Here is a 22,515-nt window from a genome sequence, read left to right on the forward strand (position 1 = left end):
ACACCCAAGTCATCCCTGATGACTCCTTCTCCCTTTTTTAACCCAGTCCCAGCTCCTAAAAATATCTCATTGTCATTTCTTCCTCTTGAAACTGACATCTCCCCAAGTTCAGCACCTGCTGGGACTGTTGCAGAGCCCTCCATTGTCTGCTGGCTCTGATGCTGCATCACCAGCCCTCTTCATGACTTTTCCCCCCTAACTCCCACTTATGACCATGTCACTGCCTTGTTCACATTTTTTTGTTCAAGTCCAACGTCTAATCCAAAACTTTTAGCATGACCTTGAACATTACCTTCAAGGTATAGATATTATTTAACTACCTAGCCTAATGTTTATGACCCTTGCTGAGCACCCAGATTCTGTTTATGTTCAGCGTACTGAATTAATTTCAGTCTACAAACTTGCATTGTTCTTTCTTGTCAATGGATCAAGCTCTCCACCTTCATTTGTCTTCTTGGCAAACTCTTTTTATTCCTTAAGACTCAGTTCAGTCAACTTTGCTATGAAGCCTTGCCTGATGCCCTCTCCACTATGTTCTGCACACAGCAGTCTTCACCATATTGCATTGTAAACATTTGCACCCCACCTAGGTGGAAGATCCACAGCTACTCACCTGTTATCCTTGATCCTCATTAGTCCCAAGGTTGACATATGAATCTCTTCTCCCTACACCATGCCCAGTTTCTAAAATTCCAATGAGAGATTAAGGTGGGTTGACATGTATGCATTTAAAGTACAACTACCAACAGGTTTAAAGTGATCTCTTTCTCTTTTTGTGGGGCGAGAATGAAGATAGGGGGCATGGAGGTTGTATATGACAAACTTTTATTATCTGTATTTTACACTTTGGATTATTTCTTAAAATTTACAGAAAAATCACATTACTTTTATAATCAGAAAAACACCCAACTCTGTCATAGCAACGATAGTTCAGTATTTTCACTTGTGGTGAAAAGACCTGAATCTATATATCTTGTATTTTCTGTCACTTTCCTTTCTGAATTAACATGAAAAAGGATAAATCTTCTTCTTTTGCATACATTTTCCGGCAACTTTTAAATTTTTTTTTTCTTTTTATATATTTGTCTGTATAGAGACAGGGTCTTACTATGTTGCCAAGCTGGCCTCAAACTCCTGGCCTCAAGGGATCCTCCACCTTGGCCTCCCAAAGTGCTGGGATTACAGGTGTGAGCCACTGTGCCTGGCCAATTTTTACCATTTTTATCCAGTAGCAATGGAGGCCTTGGCAAGACTGATTCATTCATTCATTTATTTATTCGTTCATTTTTGGGCTAGGGTAGTACATTCACGTGGCTCAATATTCAAAAGATACAAAACTCTCCTTTCCACCTCTGTACCAGGTCACTCTTGTATTCCACAGAGGGCACATTTTTATTAGTTTCTTCCACCTCCTTCCCGAAGTGTATTTTCTTTTCTTTTCTTTTTTTTTTAGAAGGAGTCTCGCTCTATCACTAGGCTGGAGTGCAGTGGCGCCATCTCGGCTCACTGCAACATTCGCCTCCAGGGTTCAAGCGATTCTCCTGACTCAGCCTCCCGAGTAGCTGGGATTACAGGCATGTGCCACCACGCCCAGCTAATTTTTGTATTTTTAGTAGAGATGGGTTTTCACCACGTTGGCCAGGATGGTCTCGATCTCCTGACAACGTGATCCACCCGCCTTGGCCTCCCAGAGTGCTGAGATTATAGGCGTGAGACACCGCGCCCGGCCCGGAGGTGTATTTTCAAGCAAATGTTCTCACATTTTTCTTATCTAAAAAAAACACTTGTCTTGACCTGGGCTGCCATAACAAAATGCCATAGACTACGTGCCTTAAACAACAAAATTTTATTTTCACTCAGTTCTGGAGGCTTGGTGTGCAAGTTCAGAGGGCGGGCAACATCAGGTTCTGGCAAGGGCTGACTTCCTCACTGACAGGTGCCTTCTCATTCTAACCTCACATGAGAGCAACCAAGCTCTTCAGCGTCTCTTCTTATAAGAGCACTAATTCCATCACGAGGGCCCCACCCTCATGTCCTCATCTAAACCTAATTACCTCCCAAAGCCTCATCTCCAAACACCATCCCAGTGGGGTGAGGCCTTCAACGTATGAATTAGCGGGGTGGGGGGACAACAAACATTCAGACCATAGAAATACGTAAATATAAGAAACAAAACCAAAAAGACTTATGTGCAATACCAACTGATCTTTTCTTTTCCTTCCAAAATGGAGTTTACCAAAATACAAATATGAAGTTTTTCAGAGCACATACCTTCCCCTGCTCTCCTCTGCAGTTTTTTTTTTTTTAATACCACCTCTAGGGTAGTTTTCCTAAAATATGGTTCCAAGGCTGTGTGTACCTCTCCTGCTCAGATCCTTTGGAACAGTGTTCAGCGCTCATCAGGATTCTGACTGTAAACTCCCTTCTCTGACTTTAACATCACAGGATGCAGTACTCCCTACATTCTACCATGGGGGGCACCCTGAATTACCTGGGTTGACTTTCTGGCCTCTGTGCTCTACTTATACAATTTCCTCTGTATGGAAGGCCCACTCCAGAATCCTTTCCCCAGCCTTTGTTCAAATGTCACTTCTGCTAGCATTAGCAGTTTCCTCCTCTGGGTTCTCACATTGCCCTGTAACATAAGTTACAAGGTAAGTACCAGAAGAGAATTCCCAATTATCATCCTGCTCCCCTACCCTCAACACCTCCAGCGGTAACTGTATCTTATTCATTTTTGTGTCTATGAAGCACAGTGTTGCACTTTGGAGATACTACATAGAAGTTGGCCCAAAGGGTAATAAACTGTATTTGCCAAGATGATAGCATGGATTTACAATAACCTCTGAAACTTTATAAAGAAAGATGATTGAGTTAAATTGATACACCTAGCATCACAGCTGTGGAAGCTTGTGGTCTTCTTTATGTTAAAGGTAAAATGGATATAATGAATTAGTTGCCATTTTTAGATGATATAGAAGTTGAATTCCTCTTAAGCCTCTCAAAGAGAAAGACATATTAAAATTCATTAAAACCAGTACCATAAACTGCACAGAACAGCCTGGTTCCCTAGAGCACTTCTCTGGGGCAGTGAGTTTTCATTTAAAAAATGAAGTTTGGATTTTAAACATAAGTTTTAAAAGTGATTAGGCTCCAGCAGGAGTTCTTAAATTCCTACCTACACCATGACTCCCAAATGCTCTGCCTCTGTTGCCTAGGAACAAAAATTGTCAAGGTTGAGCCAGATGCAATGTATAACACCAGATGATAGATGCAGCTCATTGTGTTAAAAGGTGTTAAACACTTAAGTGCATGTGATATACTCTATATCACAAGGGTAAGGAAGTTCCATTCCATATCCTGATTTGGGTCTTCTAATACATACTTGTAGTGGATGTGGTAATCAGTCTTTGTTCTATGTCCCATTAGGATCAATGCAACCAGAAATCCTTAAAATGGATTTTTATTATGTCTAGCTCTGTTTTACTGTTCTATTTGTTTATTTTAAAAAGATTTTAGAATGGTGTTTAGGTTGGGCTGGTGGCTCACGCCTGTAATCTCAGCACTTTGGGAGGCCAAGGCAGGAGGATTGCTGGAGCCTAGGAGTTGGAGACCAGCTAGGGCAACATAAGGAGACATTGTCTCCGCAAACAAACAGAAAAAAAAAAAGTAAGAAAGAAAGAGAGAAAGAAGGAAAGAACAAGAAAAAGGAAAAAAAAATTAACTGCAGTAAGTGCAGAAATCTCTCTCAAGGATATGATGGATGGCAATGAAGACAGAGTTTTTGACACTGGATTATTTAAAGCATAATTTAAGCCTCTTTCTCTCCCCTCATAGAATTGTGAATTTTTGTGTTTTAATTATATTTAAGCCAGGCGTGGTGGCGAGTGCCTGTAGTCGCAGCTGCGCTGGAGGCTGAGGCCGATTGCTTGAGCCCAGGATTTGGAGGCCAGCATGCGCAACATAATGAGACCCAGTCTCTAAATGCATGCCTCTCTCTATATATTTAAAATTCTGATGTGAAAATATTTTAAAATTTAATACATTTCAAATGTTTTTAATTGTATAATAAACAAAATGTAAATAATAAAATAATTTAATATTAAATTCAAAAATGAGGTAGAAACAAAGCACAGCGATATAAATAATAAATTTTCCTTTACATTTTTGAGGCGGTCTTTTGAGTTTTCCATTTCCTTCTTAAGGTCACTGAAATGTGCTCCTTGGAGCCAGCCCGCAAATCACGCATTTAGAAAAACATAACTATACACTCCTAACCCTAAGTATTAGAAGTGAAAGTAATGGAATCTCGATGTAAACACAATATCACTTTTTTGATGAGCTATTTTGAGTATAATAAATTTGAACTGTGCCAATGCTGGGAGAAAAAATTTAAAAGAAGAACGGAGCGAACAGTAGCTTCCTGCTCCGCTGACTAGAAACAGTAGGACGACACTCTCCCGACTGGAGGAGAGCGCTTGCGCTCGCACTCAGTTGGCGCCCGCCCTCCTGCTTTTTCTCTAGCCGCCCTTTCCTCTTTCTTTCGCGCTCTAGCCACCCGGGAAGGCCTGCCCAGCGTAGCTGGGCTCTGATTGGCTGCTTTGAAAGTCTACGGGCTACCCGATTGGTGAATCCGGGGCCCTTTAGCGCGGTGAGTTTGAAACTGCTCGCACTTGGCTTCAAAGCTGGCTCTTGGAAATTGAGCGGAGAGCGACGCGGTTGTTGTAGCTGCCGCTGCGGCCGCCGCGGAATAATAAGCCGGGTACAGTGGCTGGGGTCAGGGTCGTGTCTAGGGGACGGCCGAGGGCCTCGGAGGGCGAGTATTGAGGAACGGGGTCCTCTAAGAAGGCCGGACTGGAGGTCAGGGATCTGCGCGGGGCCCGGCTGGGCCTCGGGGGGCGGTGGGCAGGGCCTTCGCCTGGGTCTGGCCGTGTGAGCCACACTGGGCTGGCTTTAGAGGGAGGCTATGGGAGCCCAGCCTGGCGGGGTTAGGCGGCGTGGGGGTGGGGGTTCGGGGCTGCAGTCATGAGTCGAGGTCGGCTGTTCTCAGGAACTGCCTGAAGAGGCTTTCGGGTCTTGATTGAAGCAAAATCCGCTCCCCCACGCTGAGCGCCTGCGGAGTAGCAGGCTCTTTCCTGGGCCCGGCCCCTGCGCGCCCTGCCATCCCGCCTCGGGGGTGGGAAAGTGGGACCGCACCTGGGCCAGGTACAGGCGCGGGTCCCTAGAGCCAGGCCGCCCTGAGAAACCGATCCTGGAACTCGTGGGCCTTCTTGGGCTTGCTCTGCCCACGGCCCCGGCCCACCTGGAGCTGTTAAGAACAGTCAGCCCAGGCACTTAACTCTCATGAGCAGTGTAGTGCAGTTTTTTTCATTTAAAAAGATACATCTCTGCTTCTTTCTGGATTGATTTTTCTTTGAAGATGAATGTGAGAAATAGAACTTAAAGGTCTATTCTGAGTGTGCTTTATAAATGATTTTATCATCAGTGATGGGTGTTAGAAAAATCTAGGTAATTATGCCTGGAGTTCTGACGTTTCATTGGCAAACTTCAGAGGAAGTCTTGAACTTCTGGTTGTCAGCTTTTTTTTTTAACCCATTCATTGTGATTCAAGTATACCGTTTTTCTGCTTAGTCCTTGACATTGTTTAGGTTATAATTAGAATTTTATCTGTGGAATTGCACTTTTCATTCTTTTGTTTTACGGTGCTTAAGTGATATTTCCTACTCTTGGAAAAAGTACCTTGAAAGTCTTGAGCATGTTTGTCTGTGACCTCAGCAAGCAGAGGAAAAAGATTAAAATTGTCACGTGGGCAACTGTAAACACTTAAAATGTTTTTGTCGTTTTAAACAAAATTTTCCTAATGAACAGTCTGAACACATTTTAGTTCTGTCCTCATAACTTTAAAAAATAATGTTTTGAATAAAATTAGGAGTATCATAAAGCGGTATAAATTTGTTGAAATATTTGGGTATAACTTTGGCACACGCAGGTACTACTTTAAAGTGTCACAAAAAGGGAACATAATTCTGGTTTTTGTTTGGAAAGAATAGACAAGTTGATACCTGAATTTGAGGGTTATTTTGATTGGAAGAAGCTAAATACTACACTAGTATAGAATATACACGTTTCCAATGTCTCAGGAGTCAAGAAGGATGGAAAGTTATTGTAGGAGTCCTTACCCTTGTAAATATTGTTTGAATGTAATTAATATTTATGGAATACTTATGCTGCAGTAGGCACTGTGGAAAATGCTTTACATATAGTGTTTCATTAATGCTTAAAACTACTCGAGTTAGTGGCATGTAATTAAGTCAGTTTTTCCTTCACTTTAGGATCTACCATACCCATTGACTAACTATGGAAGATTATACCAAAATAGAGAAAATTGGAGAAGGTGAGTGGTTTTAGTAAAATAAATTTTATGGAATGATTTAACAATGCTACAACTTCTGTAATATGAACACATTTAAATATTTATTAAAATTCAACCATTAAGTTGTCTTGTAGTACCAGTGTGCATTAACATATGTTCTTTACTTAATAAACGCAAATTTGCTCACATTTCAAGAGAATTGAAATTACCGAATCCCTAATGACCGTTCGCCTCACCCCCATAGTCTTACAGTCTTCTGATACTAAACACTTATAGTAGTACTTGTATTTTGAAGACACTATTGATAACTTGCATGTGTGTTGAGGGGCAGAGGTTAGGGCTGCAGAATTATGCTAACTTCATAATATATTTTTAGTTTTAGTCTCTTTCAATTGTTTTTAGGATGATAAATATTTTTATCCAGACTTTATAGACTGGTTACAATAATTGACTTAATCTAATTTAAATAAAATTTCTATTTAGTTACCCTAAGTATAAATGACCTGTCATATAGACATGTTTAAGCTATTCTAAAATTATAACTTATGTATATAATCCTTCCCTTTCTGTGGTACTTGAAGGAATGTTTAGATCTATATATGGCACAAATGAGGGGTATATCCCTTCGCCTGTTCCTCGACTCCAGCAGAACATTCTCGATTCTCCAGGTACAAAATAATTTGCTAATAGAATCCAGTTTATATAGGTTCTGCCAGAAGAAAATTCCCAACTATATTTTTAATGTGATCAAAGACCCCACTTGACAAGAAATAGTGAAAAACAAGGGGGAATACTGGAGGGAATTTAGTGGAATAGGAGTGACAAGTTAGTGTGGTGTTCGATTGGAGGTGTGTGTGTGTATACATATATATATATATTTTTTTTTTAAATCACTTAAATACCTCATACCCATTCTACTAAACAAATTTTGCTGCTGAATTAAAAATATGTGATTAGTATGTCTAATGCTGTGTAGTGTGTTTCTTAAATTCCCAGAGAATTTGTGTTGGTTTTAGTTTGGCATAAAAAGAGACCTTCTTAAAGTATAAATATATTTTTCTTTAAGATGATAGAACTCCAAACATACAGGAGACTGCAGATTTGACTTCTGAGAAAAGTACTTTAATTGCTACTAGAAATAGGAGCAGTTAAAAGAATGTAATTTTAAATTTAATCCATTACATACATGTAAGTCATAAGACTTCCATTCTTTATTTCTAGCAGTGTGACAGTGGTAAACCCTCTTAACTTTTCTGGATCTCAGTTTCTGCCTCTGCAAATGGTGATAATTGGACTTAACACGAAAGATATGATTCAATTGAACAATATTATGGAAAGCATTTGTTATGAGCGCTTTAACTCAGAAAACCTTCAAATGTTTATCATTTGAACATTGTATTATTACTATGAACACTGTCTCCAAAACCATCTCTTCACCAGCTCCATCTAATGCCACTTAACTCTTAATTTGGATTTCTTTGATGTCCTCAAATGTATCCTGTGATTTGGCCTATGAGTTTTGGCAATGGCTGTTCTTTCTACCTGGAGGCCAGTTTCTACTGGCTTCATTTTTTATCTCCTCCTCTAGTCCAAGAGCATTTTGTAGTTCCCTTTGCATCATACCATAGGATCCTTGAGGGCTGGGGTTTTTGTCTTGTTCACAACTGTTTGCCCACTGCCTATCAGTAGTGCCCAACCCACAGGAGATAGCCAAATAGATAATAATAACATCTGTTTTCCTTGTTTGCTCTTCTGAACACTGTTGTTTCTTTTTCTGGCTTGTATTGTCATTTCTACTCCAATGCCTGATTGTTTTGGATTATGTGCTGGATATTGTTTTGGAAAAAGGAACTTGTGGAAATAAATGGAGGCCTAAATGATTCACACAGAATTTTCTTTTGGTTCTGCCAGGTATCTGGTTAAAGTCTAGTATTAAAATACTACTTTAAAAGTTATATTTTTTCCCCTCAACTTTTCATTTTGAACATCTCCAAATCTATATTGAAAGATTTATGCAATGAACTTGTAATATTTTTACCAAGATGTTGGTGTTTTGTCATGTTTACTTTATTATCTGTATGTATGTTAGCATTATTTTTTATTTTTTTCATTGACATTAATTCTGATTTAGAACAGTCTCTGCCTTTTCTCTCACTTGACAGTGAGTCTTGACAACCTAATTCATTTCTTAAATACCTCCAGACTTTACTATTTTAAATATTACAAAAATTGTTCTCTGGTTTCTTCTGAATTACAGAAATCTGAGTGTTGTGATACTAATCTTTGAAATCCTTCCTGTCTTAAGAAAATGTCTTTTTGGATCATAGAGTAGCAGTATCCATGATGGTGGAACCTTGCCTGGCATTTAGTAGGCATTTGATAAATACTTGCTTAATGAAGGTTTTCTGCTTAAGGGCCTCCATAACTTGATCATATCCTACATATTTTTCTTTTGTTTCTTTTTGTTTCCTGGGATAAATCTTCCATTAGACTTAGACTGATCTCCTTCTAGGCTTACCTGTGTTAATGATTTTTGCCTCCTTAGTTATTTATACTTAGTTAAATACCCTAGAGTATTTCTGTCTTTAGAATTCTTAGTTCATTTTGGAGGATATGCCATGTATTTCAAAAATAATTTTGGATGATTAACCAATAGAAAGTTCTGCTTTGTTTAACCCCTCTTCCAGTAGTTCAGTGAGAAGTGATATTATCTCTAAAATTCAACACATTGAGTGTTGGCCACTGGTTAATTGTTAATTCTGAAAATTATTTAGGATTAGATGAGATTGTACACTTGAGGGAGAAGAAAGGATGCTAGAAAAAAAATTAGTTCTGAACTTACCATTAACTGTTTATGTGACTGTATTATGCAAGTGACTAATTTTCCTGAGATCACTTAAACAGTATGCCAGATGATTGTGCTACTGGTTTACCTACTTTTTGTGTTTAATGAGAGCTGAATTTACATCCAAAAAAATGTAGATTTTAAGTATATGAAGGTTGCCTACTTTTAAGGATGGCTGTGAGGATTAAATATAGTCAATTCTCCTTTAATGTAGAGTAATTTTGGTTATCAAAAAGTTATACATTAATCCACAATTTAATCAAAATAGTATAAAATGACTCATGTCAGTTTATAGTTTTAAAATGACACCAGTATTTAAGAAAACATAGACTTTTGTATAGAGGTTCTGTCAAAAAAATTAAGCTTAAGTAGCATCAATTTGCTACTGCTCAAACTGCTTAATTTTTTAACCAAGCAGTTGGTAATTTGTTGGTTGTTAGCCTTTTTTAAAATATTGCTACTTTCAGAGAAACTCATAAAAGCTATAGAAGAGGCCTTCTTCCTAGAACAGTGCACTCTAATCACTTTTGAAGTTAAACCAATGCCATGGAAAGCAAGCTATTCAACAAAATTTTGTGTGTACTTAAGGGGTTCAGGACCTCCCTAAACTCCAACTCGAGTTTAAAAAGACTTATCTAGGGAATTCAGCCACGTATATGACAGATTTTAGCTAGTCTTCTCCCTTATTGCCATTTCATTCCCTGTATCCACCTCCTCCCTCCCTGCTATCCCTTATAATTGATATTGTTGCTCATTACCTGAAGCCCATATATCAAAATCAGTATTTTCATCAACTTGCAAATGGGTGTGAGGCTTTCCTAATATGTAGTACATACAATGTGCTTTATTAGGTTTAATACACAAACACCTGGTCTTTTTTCTCCATTCTTTTGAGAATGAGGACTGTTGACTGTATTTTGAGATACAGATAAAAGTGTTTTGAAAAGCATAAAGCACTCTACAGTATTTTCTGAAAGTGTCATAATGACTTTTATCAGTAATATTTCCTGAGCCCAAATTTTTACACTATATTTTATGCCCACTTCGTTGCAGGGTAGGATATTGACAGAAGGTTAATTTTAATTTGCAAATGATCTATTTTGTTCTGTAAAATATGCTGGAACATTAATGGTAATTTAGATGTATAGAAAACTTGTGATGACTACATGAATTTTATTTTTAAGCCATACAGATTGTAGTTACTCTCAATTTCTTTTTGGAAGCAATGAGGGTATGAGTAAGATACTTCCCATATGGCCACACCAGACATTTCTATCATGTGACCCTTATGGGATTCAATGATCTTGAAATCCTTTAGTTTGACCAGGTGCGGTGGCTCACGCCTGTAATCTCAGCATTTTGGGGCGGCGAGGCAGGTAGATTGCTTGAGCTCACGAGTTCCAGACTGGCCTGGGCAACATGGTGAAACCCCATCTCTACCAAAAAGACAAAAATTAGCCGAGTGTGGTGGCATGTGCCTGTAGTCCCAGCTACTTGGGAGGCTGCCGTGGGAGGATCCCCTGAGCCCAGGAGGAGGAGGTTGTAGTGAGCCTTGATTGACCCACTGCACTCCAACCTGGACAAGAAAACAAGACCCTGCCATAAGGAAAAAAAAAAAGAAAAAAAGATCTTTAGTTTGTGGGGTGTGTCACACAGCATATTATTTACTTTGTTTCAGGTACCTATGGAGTTGTGTATAAGGGTAGACACAAAACTACAGGTCAAGTGGTAGCCATGAAAAAAATCAGACTAGAAAGTGAAGAGGAAGGGGTTCCTAGTACTGCAATTCGGGAAATTTCTCTATTAAAGGAACTTCGTCATCCAAATATAGTCAGGTATGTTGTAATATCTGAATGTAAGCCATTTTCTGCATGCTATTTCAAATATAAATTTCAACTTGGAAATCTTTACATTTGCTCAATTTCTTGGTCTAGCCTTACTGAGTGGACTAGAACCCTATTTTTGGTAGTTGAGAATGCCGCACATATGTAAAAGAGAACAGGCTGTTAAAGCAGGAACAGAGTTGGAGGAGCTGGGTGATGTAGATTAATATTTGGGCCTAGAATAGCAAGGTAAATTGGCCATGGGAGTAAAGCCGTTTTCATAGAGCTTTGTCAACTCTCTCCTACTTGGGGAGCTCTAGTTCCTGAAGACCCTTTAGTTAGAGTCTTAAGAAAAGTAGCTAGGTCAAATGAAAAAGATTTTTTTTCCTTAAAGTATTTGCATTGGGTGTTTTTGGAGACCTGTCTTCCTAACAGTCCAAGTTAAAATCTAATTGTACTTGGCTGGGGCTAGAGATTGGAAGTAGCTTTTAAGGTCAGATACCACTTTAAAATTTATTTGTATAATTCACTTCAGTGAAAAAATAAGCTCTCAGCAATTAGTAGCCAACCTAGATATGTTCTTTTGAATACAGGCTCCTTATAAATAAGCACCTCCTGTACAAGGCTTAATTTTAAATAGTTGCCCTGAGATTCCTTTCTTAAATTTGAGTTTTGAGTCTCTTCCATTAGGGAAGCTACTACGTCTTCCCCAGTTTTTATTATAGCAACTGAAATTATGGAAGGAGTTTTATTTTGTGAAACAGAGGTCAAAAATGTTTGCTGGATTCTTCTCTCATATATTTTTTTTCCCCAGTCTTCAGGATGTGCTTATGCAGGATTCCAGGTTATATCTCATCTTTGAGTTTCTTTCCATGGATCTGAAGAAATACTTGGATTCTATCCCTCCTGGTCAGTACATGGATTCTTCACTTGTTAAGGTAAAAGCTTAACTAATTTTATTAATATTTATGCACTGTGGATATAAAGGGACTATATATAGAAGTCCCTGCATTTTGTGGGAATATGCTTGGAAAAAGTGTTAGAATAAGAAAAAGTATTTCATTTTTCTCCCTCATGGTTAGTTTATACAGGTTAGAGATACCCATGTTATTACCAGATAGTGTTTCTAGTAAGTAAAAATTAGTGCCTGAGATAACATAGAACTGGTAGGTATTGTTGGAAGCTAGGGTAGTCTGGTCTTTCTTTGGCTGTCAGATACATGTAAAACAAAGTAATGAAAGCCTAGGGCAGAGTGGTGGTTGTAGGTGTTTTATTCCAGTTTTGAACATGTTTTGGTCAATTTATTGTAGACATTTATTATATTTCAGGTAAATTATAAAATTGTATAGTTTTAAGTACTGAAGTATATAAAAGTGTCTTATTCTTGCACCAGTTCTACCAAACCACTCTGCAGAGGTAGCGCTGTTAGTTTTATTTGTAATCTTACACTTGTATGTATGTTCACTTTGTATGTATATAAAGATTTTTTTTTTTACACAAGGTGGACTTATTTGCATATGTATATATACATATTTTCCCTTTTTTGTGTAAAACATTATCAAGACGTAGATCTACCTATGTCTATTTACATTTTTGATATAATTAAACCACTTCCATATTGATGAACATTTAAATTATTTTCCAACTTGGTTATTGTTGCTCTTATTAACAGTACTGCACTGAATGTCCTTATAGATATTTATCTTCGTATGCAACTTTATAGGATAAATTTTTAGAATGGGAATGATGGATTGAAGATGTTTATTTACATTTTGATAGATATTGCCGGTTGCCCCCTAAAAAACTTGTAGCAATTTACTCTTAAATACTCATGGTGTGTAATACTTATTGTTTTAGTACATCATTGCCAAAACTTGGTTTTATCAATCTGTTAACTATGTGAAAAAGGCATATTAAGATTGTTTTAATTTTATATTTCATGACAATTTAACACTTCATATTTAGCTATTATAAACCGCCTATATTTTCGTTAGGATACGTTCTTTAACAATCTTGCATGACTTTTGGACTTTCTGCTTTTATGTCTTGCTTAAGTCTTCCTCACTCAAAGATCGAATGTATTAGAATAATACATGTCAGTATTTTTCTGGTAGTTTTAGTAAGTCCTGTCTTCCACACATACTTTTTTTGTCTTAAATTCTGTATTAAGATTTATTTTGACTTAAAAACTGGGATACAGATTCTGCTTTATCTTTTTCCAAATGGCTAGCCAGTTGTTCTAACTGGTTTTATGTACAGGCAACAATGGTTTTACTTACAATTTTTCAGTTTTACAATGAAGCAGAAATGATGCACATTCACTAGAAACCATACTTCATTTACCCATACAACCATTCTGTTTTTTCACTTTCAGTACAGTATTCAATAAATAATGAGGTATTCAACACTTCCAACTATATGCTAATGTAAGTGTTTTGAGCACAATTAAGGTGGGCTACGCTTAGCTACGTTTGGTAGGTTAGGTGTGTTCAATGCATTTCGACAAGGTATTTTCAGCTTAGAATGAGTTTAACCAGATGGATCATCCGTTTTGTTTTGTTTTTTGAACACCACTTGTCCCTCTAAGATGGAGCATCTGTATTACTTTCCAATTTCAAACTGTAAGTCATTTTTCTGTGTACTTTGTTTTTGTAATATCCATGCTACTTCAGATGTCAATGACATTGTCTTTGGCAACAAATGTCTTGTAAAGCACTTTTCTCTGAACTAAGCAGCATTTTATGATAATTTTATCCATTGAAATATATAATCATAATATCTTTGCCATCACTTTTAGAATCTAATTTTTTCAAGAAGGAAATGAATATGTAAAAATGAAAGATAGAAAAGGCCAACTGTATTGAAGATACAAAATAGAGTTGGTAGCGGTATATAGAAGAAAAATCAAGAGGCTTCTGTGTAGAAAACCAATTTGTAATTTAAGGATCGGGGACCAAAAATGTTTAAAGACTAAATGTGTTCACATTACTATAGATATGTCTATAAGGTGAAGATTCTTTTCTTAGGTATACAAATGTGATGTTGTATATAAATGGGCTTCCCACCCACAAATGCTTATTAGCCTAAAATGGCCTGAAAGCTCTAGTAATTAAATTATTTCTCTGCGTCCTAATTTTTTGTCTTTGAAACAGATTATTTAGAAAATCATGTACTTCGCTTAAGTTTCTAACTTTTACTTGCTTTTTCCAGAGTTATTTATACCAAATCCTACAGGGGATTGTGTTTTGTCACTCTAGAAGAGTTCTTCACAGAGACTTAAAACCTCAAAATCTCTTGATTGATGACAAAGGAACAATTAAACTGGCTGATTTTGGCCTTGCCAGAGCTTTTGGAATACCTATCAGAGTATATACACATGAGGCAAGTGGAATAGTGGTTTTTGATGGCTTTTGAATGTGTGTGATTGCTAGATTATTTTCTGTATTTGTGAAAGTCAAGAAATAACTCAATAAAAGATATCTACTCTGTGGCAGTATCAATTTATTGCCTCTCAGCTCCAAATTCATTGCATGCTATGTGAAAATGGAACTGAAGCCTTTAAGTATTTTTTCTTTACCAGCTGCTATGTTGTTAAGGTAGAGGGTACTAGAGGGACATGGCAGGAGGAAGGAGTTTTCCTAGCTACAGTTTTTACATTTTCATTATTTTTTACTTTATTTATTTACATCATTCCCATCCTTTGTTGTACTTTAATTCTTTATATTAAACTCTCCCCATTCAAATCACCACCTTGGTTTCTGTCTCCTGACTGAACCCTCCCTGATTATAGTCAGATTGATTCAAAGACAGGTTTTGTTCCTTAAGGTATATTATTTCTGATACATTTAGGAATTGCTAACTATAATTTATGTTTGATCTGTGTTATATTGCTGACTTGGCATTTAGTGTTTCTGAAGGAAAGGGAACATTGTATAATAAAGGATTATTGAAAGGCTGTCTTCTGTGGAGTTGTCTACCCTTGACCCAAAGACTGTCTCCAGATCAAAACTAGTAACAGTGCTCATCTGATTAGATGTCTTGGCTGCTTGTTAGTCTTTATCATTTTTTTACATGGCTATATAAATAAACTAAGATTATTTTGTTTTCTTTGTCTTAAACAAATGCTATTGACCTCATTAGCTTTGTTCTAACAGGCAATATTTTTACCATATGATAAATATACTAAAATGGTTGGTTAGTTCTAGATCACTAATCTGTTATTTGACTTATTCACGTTTTTTAAATAATTTAAAAATCATTTTTTATCGACGCATTATTATACATATTTATGGGGTACAGTGTGGTATTTGGATACATGTATGCAATGTGTATTGATTAAATTGGGGTAGTTAGCATATCCATTGCCCCAAGCATTTATTATTTCTTTTTGTTGGGAACATTCAAAATTCTTTGTTTGGGCTATTTGAAAATTTACAGTAAATTATTGGTAACTGTAGTCAGCTTACAGTGCTGTAGAACACTAGAGCTTATTTTTCCTTTTGAGCTGTAATTGTATCCATAAACCAACTTATCTCTGTCTTCCTCTACTAAGCCCTGAATAACCACTATTCCACTCTATGGCCATTAGATCAACTTTTTACGTTTTCAAATATGAGTGAAAACATGTGGTATTTATCCTTCTGTGCCTGGCTTATTTCATGGCTCATCCTTGTTGTCATAAATGACAGAATTTCATTCTTTTTTTATGGCTGAGTAGTATTCTAGTATTCCATTGCGTGCACGTATGTGTGTGTACACTACATTTTCTGTATGTGTGTATGTATACACCACATTATCTGTTGATGGAAACAGGTCGATTCTGTATCTTGACTATTGTGAATAGTGCTTCAATAAACATGGGAGTGCAGATATCTCTTTGACATAATTGATTTTATTTATTTTGGACATATACCCCCAGCAGTGGGATTGCAAAATTATATGGTAGTTCTAGTTTGTAGTTTTTTGAGCATCCTCTAAACAGTTTTTCATAATGGCTCTACTAATTTAAGAGCCCACCAACAGTGCGTAAAAAGTTGCCCTTTCTCTGCATCCTTATCAGCACTTATTTTTTGTCTTTTGATGATAATTACTCTAACTGGGTGTGATAGCTCATTGTGGTTTTGATTTGCATTTCCCTGATGAATAGTGATGTTGAGCACTTTTTCATATACTTGCTGGTCTTTGTATGTCTTTTGAGAAAGTTTTATTCAGATTGTTTGACCATTTTTAAAATTGGATTCTTACTATTTTTTTTATTCTGGATGTTAATTCTTTGTTGTATGAATGATTTGCAAATAATTTCTCCCATTCTGCAGATTGTTGCATTATTCTGTTATTCTGTTCATTCTGTTTCTTTTGCTGTGCAGAAGCTTTTTAGTTCGATATAATCCTGTTTGTCTATTTGTTATTGCTGAGACAGGGTCTTTCTCTGTCACCCATGCTGGAATGCAGTGGCGTGAACAGGGCTCACTGCAACCTCAACCTCCTGGGCTCCAGTGATCCTTCCACGTCAGCCTCCTGAGTAATTGGGCCCATACACAGGCATGCACCACCATGCTAGGCTGATTTTTAAATTTTTTAGAGACGGGGCTGTCAGCATATTTCCCAGACTGTTCTCGAACTCCTGGGCTCATGCAATCCTCCCGCTTTGGCCTCCCAAAGTGTTGGGATTATAGGCATGAGCTGCTGCACCTGGCCTCATTTGTCTATTTTTGATTTTGTTTCTTGAGCTTTTGAGGTCTTATCCATATGATTTTTGTCCAGATCAATATCAATAACAGTGTTTCCTCTGTTTTCTTCCAATAGTTTCATAGTTTAAGGTCTTATTTAATCCATTTTGAGTTGATTTTTGTGTATGGTTAGATATAGGGGTTTAGTTTCATTGTTCTGCATGTGGATTATCCAGTTTTTCCAGCACCATTTATTGAAGAGATTGGCTTTTCCCTAGTGAATGTTCTTGTCATCTTTCTCAAAAATGAGTTGACTGTAAATACATGGATTTATTTCTGGATTCTCTATTTTGTTCTGTTGGTCTCTGCGTCCTTTTTTATACTAATATCATGATGTTTCGGTTACTATAGCTTTGTAATACATTTTTGAAGTCAGGTGATACGATGCCTTCAGCTTTGTTGTTTTTGCTCAAGATTGGTTTAGCTATTGTGGGTCTTTTTTGGTTCTATATGAATTTTAGGATTTCTTTTTATTTCTGTGAAGAATGTCCTTGGTATTTTGATGGAGATTGCACTGAATTTGTAGATTGCATTGGGTGGTAATATGGTCATTTTTATATTAATTCTTCCAGTTCATGAACATGGGATGTCTTTTTTGTATCTTCCTAAATTTTTTTCTTCAATGTTTTATAGTTTTTAGTGTAGAGATTATACATCTCATTTGTTAAATTTATTCCTAGGTTTTTTGTACCTATTGTACATTAGATTGCTTTCTTGATGTTATTTTTCAGCTAGTTATTGGTGTATAGAAACTATTAATTTTTGTATGCTGATTTTGATTTTGTATACTGCAACTTTGTTAATCAGTTCTAAGAGTTTTTGGTGGAGTCTTTTAAGTTTTTCTATATATAAGATCATCTCTGCACACAGGGACAATTTGACTTCTTCCTTGGCAATTTGGATGCCCTTTATTTCTTTCTCATGTTTCTTATTCATGTTATAATGGTACTGTTAGTACCATCTTAGCAAGTAAGCAGTACCTGCACTTTGTTCAGTGTCACCCCAAATCTATTATCAATGGGTTTGGTTTTTCAGTGGGGGGAAGATAAGGCTGTATAACTGTCTTGATCTTTAGTGATTTGAAAAGCAAAAAAATATTTATTATGCTTTTATCTGTTTTGTCTTCTAATGAATAGAACTTAGAAATGAAATATTTATCTTCAATTTTGTGTACCTTTAATTGACTTAAACAATATTATTGGTGGCAGTCATACAACCTTTAAAGGACAGCCCTAATAAAAATATAAATGTTTAAGTGTAGGTAATTTTATGCACCACATTTATTCATTGTAAAAATTTGCTTTTTAATAGGTAGTAACACTCTGGTACAGATCTCCAGAAGTATTGCTGGGGTCAGCTCGTTACTCAACTCCAGTTGACATTTGGAGTATAGGCACCATATTTGCTGAACTAGCAACTAAGAAACCACTTTTCCATGGGGATTCAGAAATTGATCAACTCTTCAGGATTTTCAGGTAGCTATTAAAAACTGAGATAATAAAGGTAACATATATGTAACAATGAGATTACATTTATGCTTTAAGAAATTTTTAATTTCCTGTTTTTTAGAGCTTTGGGCACTCCCAATAATGAAGTGTGGCCAGAAGTGGAATCTTTACAGGACTATAAGAATACATTTCCCAAATGGAAACCAGGAAGCCTAGCATCCCATGTCAAAAACTTGGATGAAAATGGCTTGGATTTGCTCTCGGTAAGGAGTGCCCTTGATACTGACTTTCAAATTATTGATGATTCTGAATATATTCAGTTCTTTGTTTTGCCTAGAAAATAGGAAGAACACTAACATTTTTGAGCTAGGTGTCTGTTATGTACATTGTATTATACTAGCTTCATTTTAGATATCAGGAGGCACTAGTGGCTTTGAGAGGAGGATTTAGCATTAGTTTTTGTTTTTTATCTGACAGGTAGCTATGGATATTCTGAGGGAGAAGCCAGGATTAATACACATTTTTTTTTTTAAGTTGCTGAATTGTAGTGGCTCTCCTTTCTAGCATTTTTGTCACTATTGAGCCCTCTTAGTTTATGCTAGACGTGTTTTTCTTATTGGTTGATATTTTAAATTATTAAAGCCATCTTCTGAATAAGCTTTATTCGCACTTTGTACCTAGTTTCTCCATCAGAAGGATCTATTGCTATACCATTGTATACATTTTCTCATTGGTCTTCGGGTTACTTTCAGAGTGTAAAGACTCCTTATGCCACAAAATTAAGCTTAGATTTCCCCCAAATCAAATACTATAAATCAGATTCCTTAGTCTAGCCACAATTGACATATCTTGGAGTGGATAAATCTTTGTTGCTGGCATTGTTCTGTGCATCATAACTTGTTTAGTGGCATGTCATCACTGTCTTCTACTCTCTAGATGCCATTAGTATACTCTTCACAGTTAGGACAACCAAAAGTGTCTCCAGATATTGCCAAATGTCTCCTGATGGGCAAAGTCTATCCCAGTTGCGAACCATTATTGTAAATTAAACTTGGTTTCAAATTTGAGCTTTATTCCTTAGCTCTGGGAACTTGGGCAAGTTACTTCCCTTCGAGCCTCAATGTCCTCATTTGTAAAATGACATTAATACCTACTTTTAGCTGTGGGAATTGAGTACCATGATTTATACAAAGCAGTTTGTATGGTGCTGGTTACATGAGAGTTCAGATGGTAACTAGTTAGTAAAAAATCTCTAGTGTGCTTGTTGATTTTATTTTATTTTAGTATTTCTTAAAGATCAAATTTAACATCAATCCTAAACTTTATTTAGCTTTTTCTGGCGCGTAAACTAACATACTAAGTTGTGTGACTATAATTCATTTAGTGACTCATTTTTAGCTATTTTTATAACACATTGTGCTATGGGGGGTTTTGGAACTTGCTGGAAGCTACATCAGAAACTGCCATAGTTAATTGCCATTTCAAGAATGTTGTAAATAACTCAGGTGGCCGTTTAATTCTCAATGTAAATATAATTAACTAGACGTCTTTCCTATATTTGTGTCTCAGTTTTAAAGCTATTTCTGGATGCTTGAGTCTTACCGTAATTGATAACAAAAAGAGGTTATTGAGAATATCTATGATTTACAGAGTAAGTTATTCTAGACCTCAAGAGTGAAATGTAGGGGAGGAGACATTTGTGTGTTAAACTAATGGAAATGCTCATTTAATAGATATTCACTGAAAGTATTAGTTTTGGTTTATTGCTAGAAAAGTTGAGGTTTTATGGAGATTTTTGTAAAAAATGGTTTATTTCCTAAATAAATATCTCTTTTTCTTTTTTCTCCCAGAAAATGTTAATCTATGATCCAGCCAAACGAATTTCTGGCAAAATGGCACTGAATCATCCATATTTTAATGATTTGGACAATCAGATTAAGAAGATGTAGCTTTCTGACAAAAAGTTTCCATATGTTATATCAACAGATAGTTGTGTTTTTATTGTTAACTCTTGTCTATTTTTGTCTTATATATATTTCTTTGTTATCAAACTTCAGCTGTACTTCGTCTTCTAATTTCAAAAATATAACTTAAAAATGTAAATATTCTATATGAATTTAAATATAATTCTGTAAATGTGTGTAGGTCTCACTGTAACAACTATTTGTTACTATAATAAAACTATAATATTGATGTCAGGAATCAGGAAAAAATTTGAGTTGGCTTAAATCATCTCAGTCCTTATGGCAGTTTTATTTTCCTGTAGTTGGAACTACTAAAATTTAGGAAAATGCTAAGTTCAAGTTTCGTAATGCTTTGAAGTATTTTTATGCTCTGAATGTTTAAATGTTCTCATCAGTTTCTTGCCATGTTGTTAACTATACAACCTGGCTAAAGATGAATATTTTTCTACTGGTATTTTAATTTTTGACCTAAATGTTTAAGCATTCGGAATGAGAAAACTATACAGATTTGAGAAATGATGCTAAATTTATAGGAGTTTTCAGTAACTTAAAAAGCTAACATGAGAGCATGCCAAAATTTGCTAAGTCTTACAAAGATCAAGGGCTGTCCGCAACAGGGAAGAACAGTTTTGAAAATTTATGAACTATCTTATTTTTAGGTAGGTTTTGAAAGCTTTTTGTCTAAGTGAATTCTTATGCCTTGGTCAGAGTAATAACTGAAGGAGTTGCTTATCTTGGCTTTCGAGTCTGAGTTTAAAACTACACATTTTGACATAGTGTTTATTAGCAGCCATCTAAAAAGGCTCTAATGTATATTTAACTAAAATTACTAGCTTTGGGAATTAAACTGTTTAACAAATAATGCTGCTCATTGTGATTCTTACCTATAAGCAGCCTAATTTGAATTATTTGCTGCAATCAAGAGAAGTGTACAATAGTTTTATTACTTTTTTAGTGTACTTCTATCCTTTTTCCAACTATATCTCCTCTATTTTTCCTCCTCGTTAACAGGCTAGAATGTGCATTCCTGGGTTACCGATTTTTACACTCAATTGGATGTGTAATGAGGGATCTATCTAATCCATCTTGTCTTGGAAATTTTGCACTCTAGAAGAAAGTGTGTCACTTTCTTCAGCAGCGAGACCTTTTAAGATTGGTGGTTTGGTTGTCCTGTTCTGTGGTCTTTGGTGGAAGCCAGTTTGTTGTAAGAGAATGTAGAGCTTATTAATGTAAGTCATTTGGGGTTATATTGTGGAGGGTTGTTTAGGATTGCATGGCAGGAATTGGGTAAATGAAAGGTAACACTAAAGATTGGAGATGGTATAATGGCATATCTACAGGTCTGTGTTTCCTTATCTGCGAAGTGAGACATTGAAATAGATCTGTTTTGCAAATTGTGGATTGCAACCCTTTAGTGATTTACGACCAGCATTAATCACTAACCCCTTTCCTACCCCAGTGTAAAACAGAAACTATCAGTGTATCCTATATAATTATTTACTTATTTATTTTTTCAGTAATATATAGATACATGGGTGATACAAATGTTTGGGGCCTTGTAGATAATGTAGAAACAGCATGCAACCTCACCGCTCTTGCTCCACGGAGTCCAAGTGTCTGAAAAGTTGATAATACATCAAATTAGAACTGACTTGGTAGACCAGGGAAATGAGATAGCTGGTAGGACACTGTCATCACTTGCTATAATGAGTGACCTACTTTTGATCCTATGTCAACTTCAGTGACTAGGTGAAAAGCTACTGAATTGTGTCCTCATCTCAAATGTATTTTTAAATTAGTTTGTGCTGTGGTACTTCTGATTAATTTTAAAATGGAGCTTGTCTCTAGGCCAGTGACCCTTAAGTCTGTTATGTGCTAGAAACACCCAGAAGCTAATTCTGGCACTACTGTGAATTCAGATTTTGAAAATTGGGAAATGTATCCCAATAATGCATTTTTTCAGAAGCTTGCCAAGCTGATTTAGATGAATTCCATTGTCATCAGTAGTGGTGAGTTTGACCATTAGGGGCCTATATCTGGTTTTAGTTGTCTTAAAACTTAATGACATCATGCAATATTTTTAAAGTTACTCTATTTCTCTTTGAGTTTGTACTCTTTAGTGGAGGGGAAAAAGCTGCATATTTCATACGTATACCAGTATAGGCTTCATATATGTGAGCACAGCAATGAAGTCTTTACTAATTTATTTGGGCATGGCATATATAAATTAAAAGTTTTTGAAAAAATGGTATTTGAGAATTTAATAAAATGGCCCAATAAAGGGTCTTTTGGGGAGTATAGATTAACAGGGTGAAATAGTTTTTAATTATAGT

At 36.3% G+C, this 22,515-nt stretch overlaps 1 protein-coding gene across 6 annotated transcripts; it reads left to right on the top strand.

Annotated features, from left to right (window-relative positions):
* On the top strand, positions 4,523 to 21,044 carry CDK1 (cyclin dependent kinase 1). Of its 6 annotated transcripts, none has more exons than NM_001320918.1 (8): positions 4,523 to 4,651; positions 6,333 to 6,394; positions 10,897 to 11,053; positions 11,856 to 11,979; positions 14,252 to 14,422; positions 18,082 to 18,245; positions 18,340 to 18,481; positions 20,069 to 21,044. In NM_001320918.1, the coding sequence occupies exons 2-8, from the start codon at positions 6,358 to 6,360 to the stop codon at positions 20,165 to 20,167; spliced, it is 894 nt and encodes a 297-aa protein (NP_001307847.1). In that variant the 5' UTR covers positions 4,523 to 4,651; positions 6,333 to 6,357; the 3' UTR covers positions 20,168 to 21,044. The 6 variants fall into 6 exon arrangements, with proteins under 6 accessions (NP_001307847.1, NP_001163877.1, XP_005270360.1 ...); XM_005270303.4 differs by lacking the exon at positions 4,523 to 4,651 and adding an exon at positions 4,670 to 4,860; NM_001786.5 differs by lacking the exon at positions 4,523 to 4,651 and adding an exon at positions 4,670 to 4,762.

This window comes from Homo sapiens, chromosome 10 (genome assembly GCF_000001405.40).
Source record: "Homo sapiens chromosome 10, GRCh38.p14 Primary Assembly".
Lineage (NCBI taxonomy): Eukaryota > Metazoa > Chordata > Mammalia > Primates > Hominidae > Homo > Homo sapiens.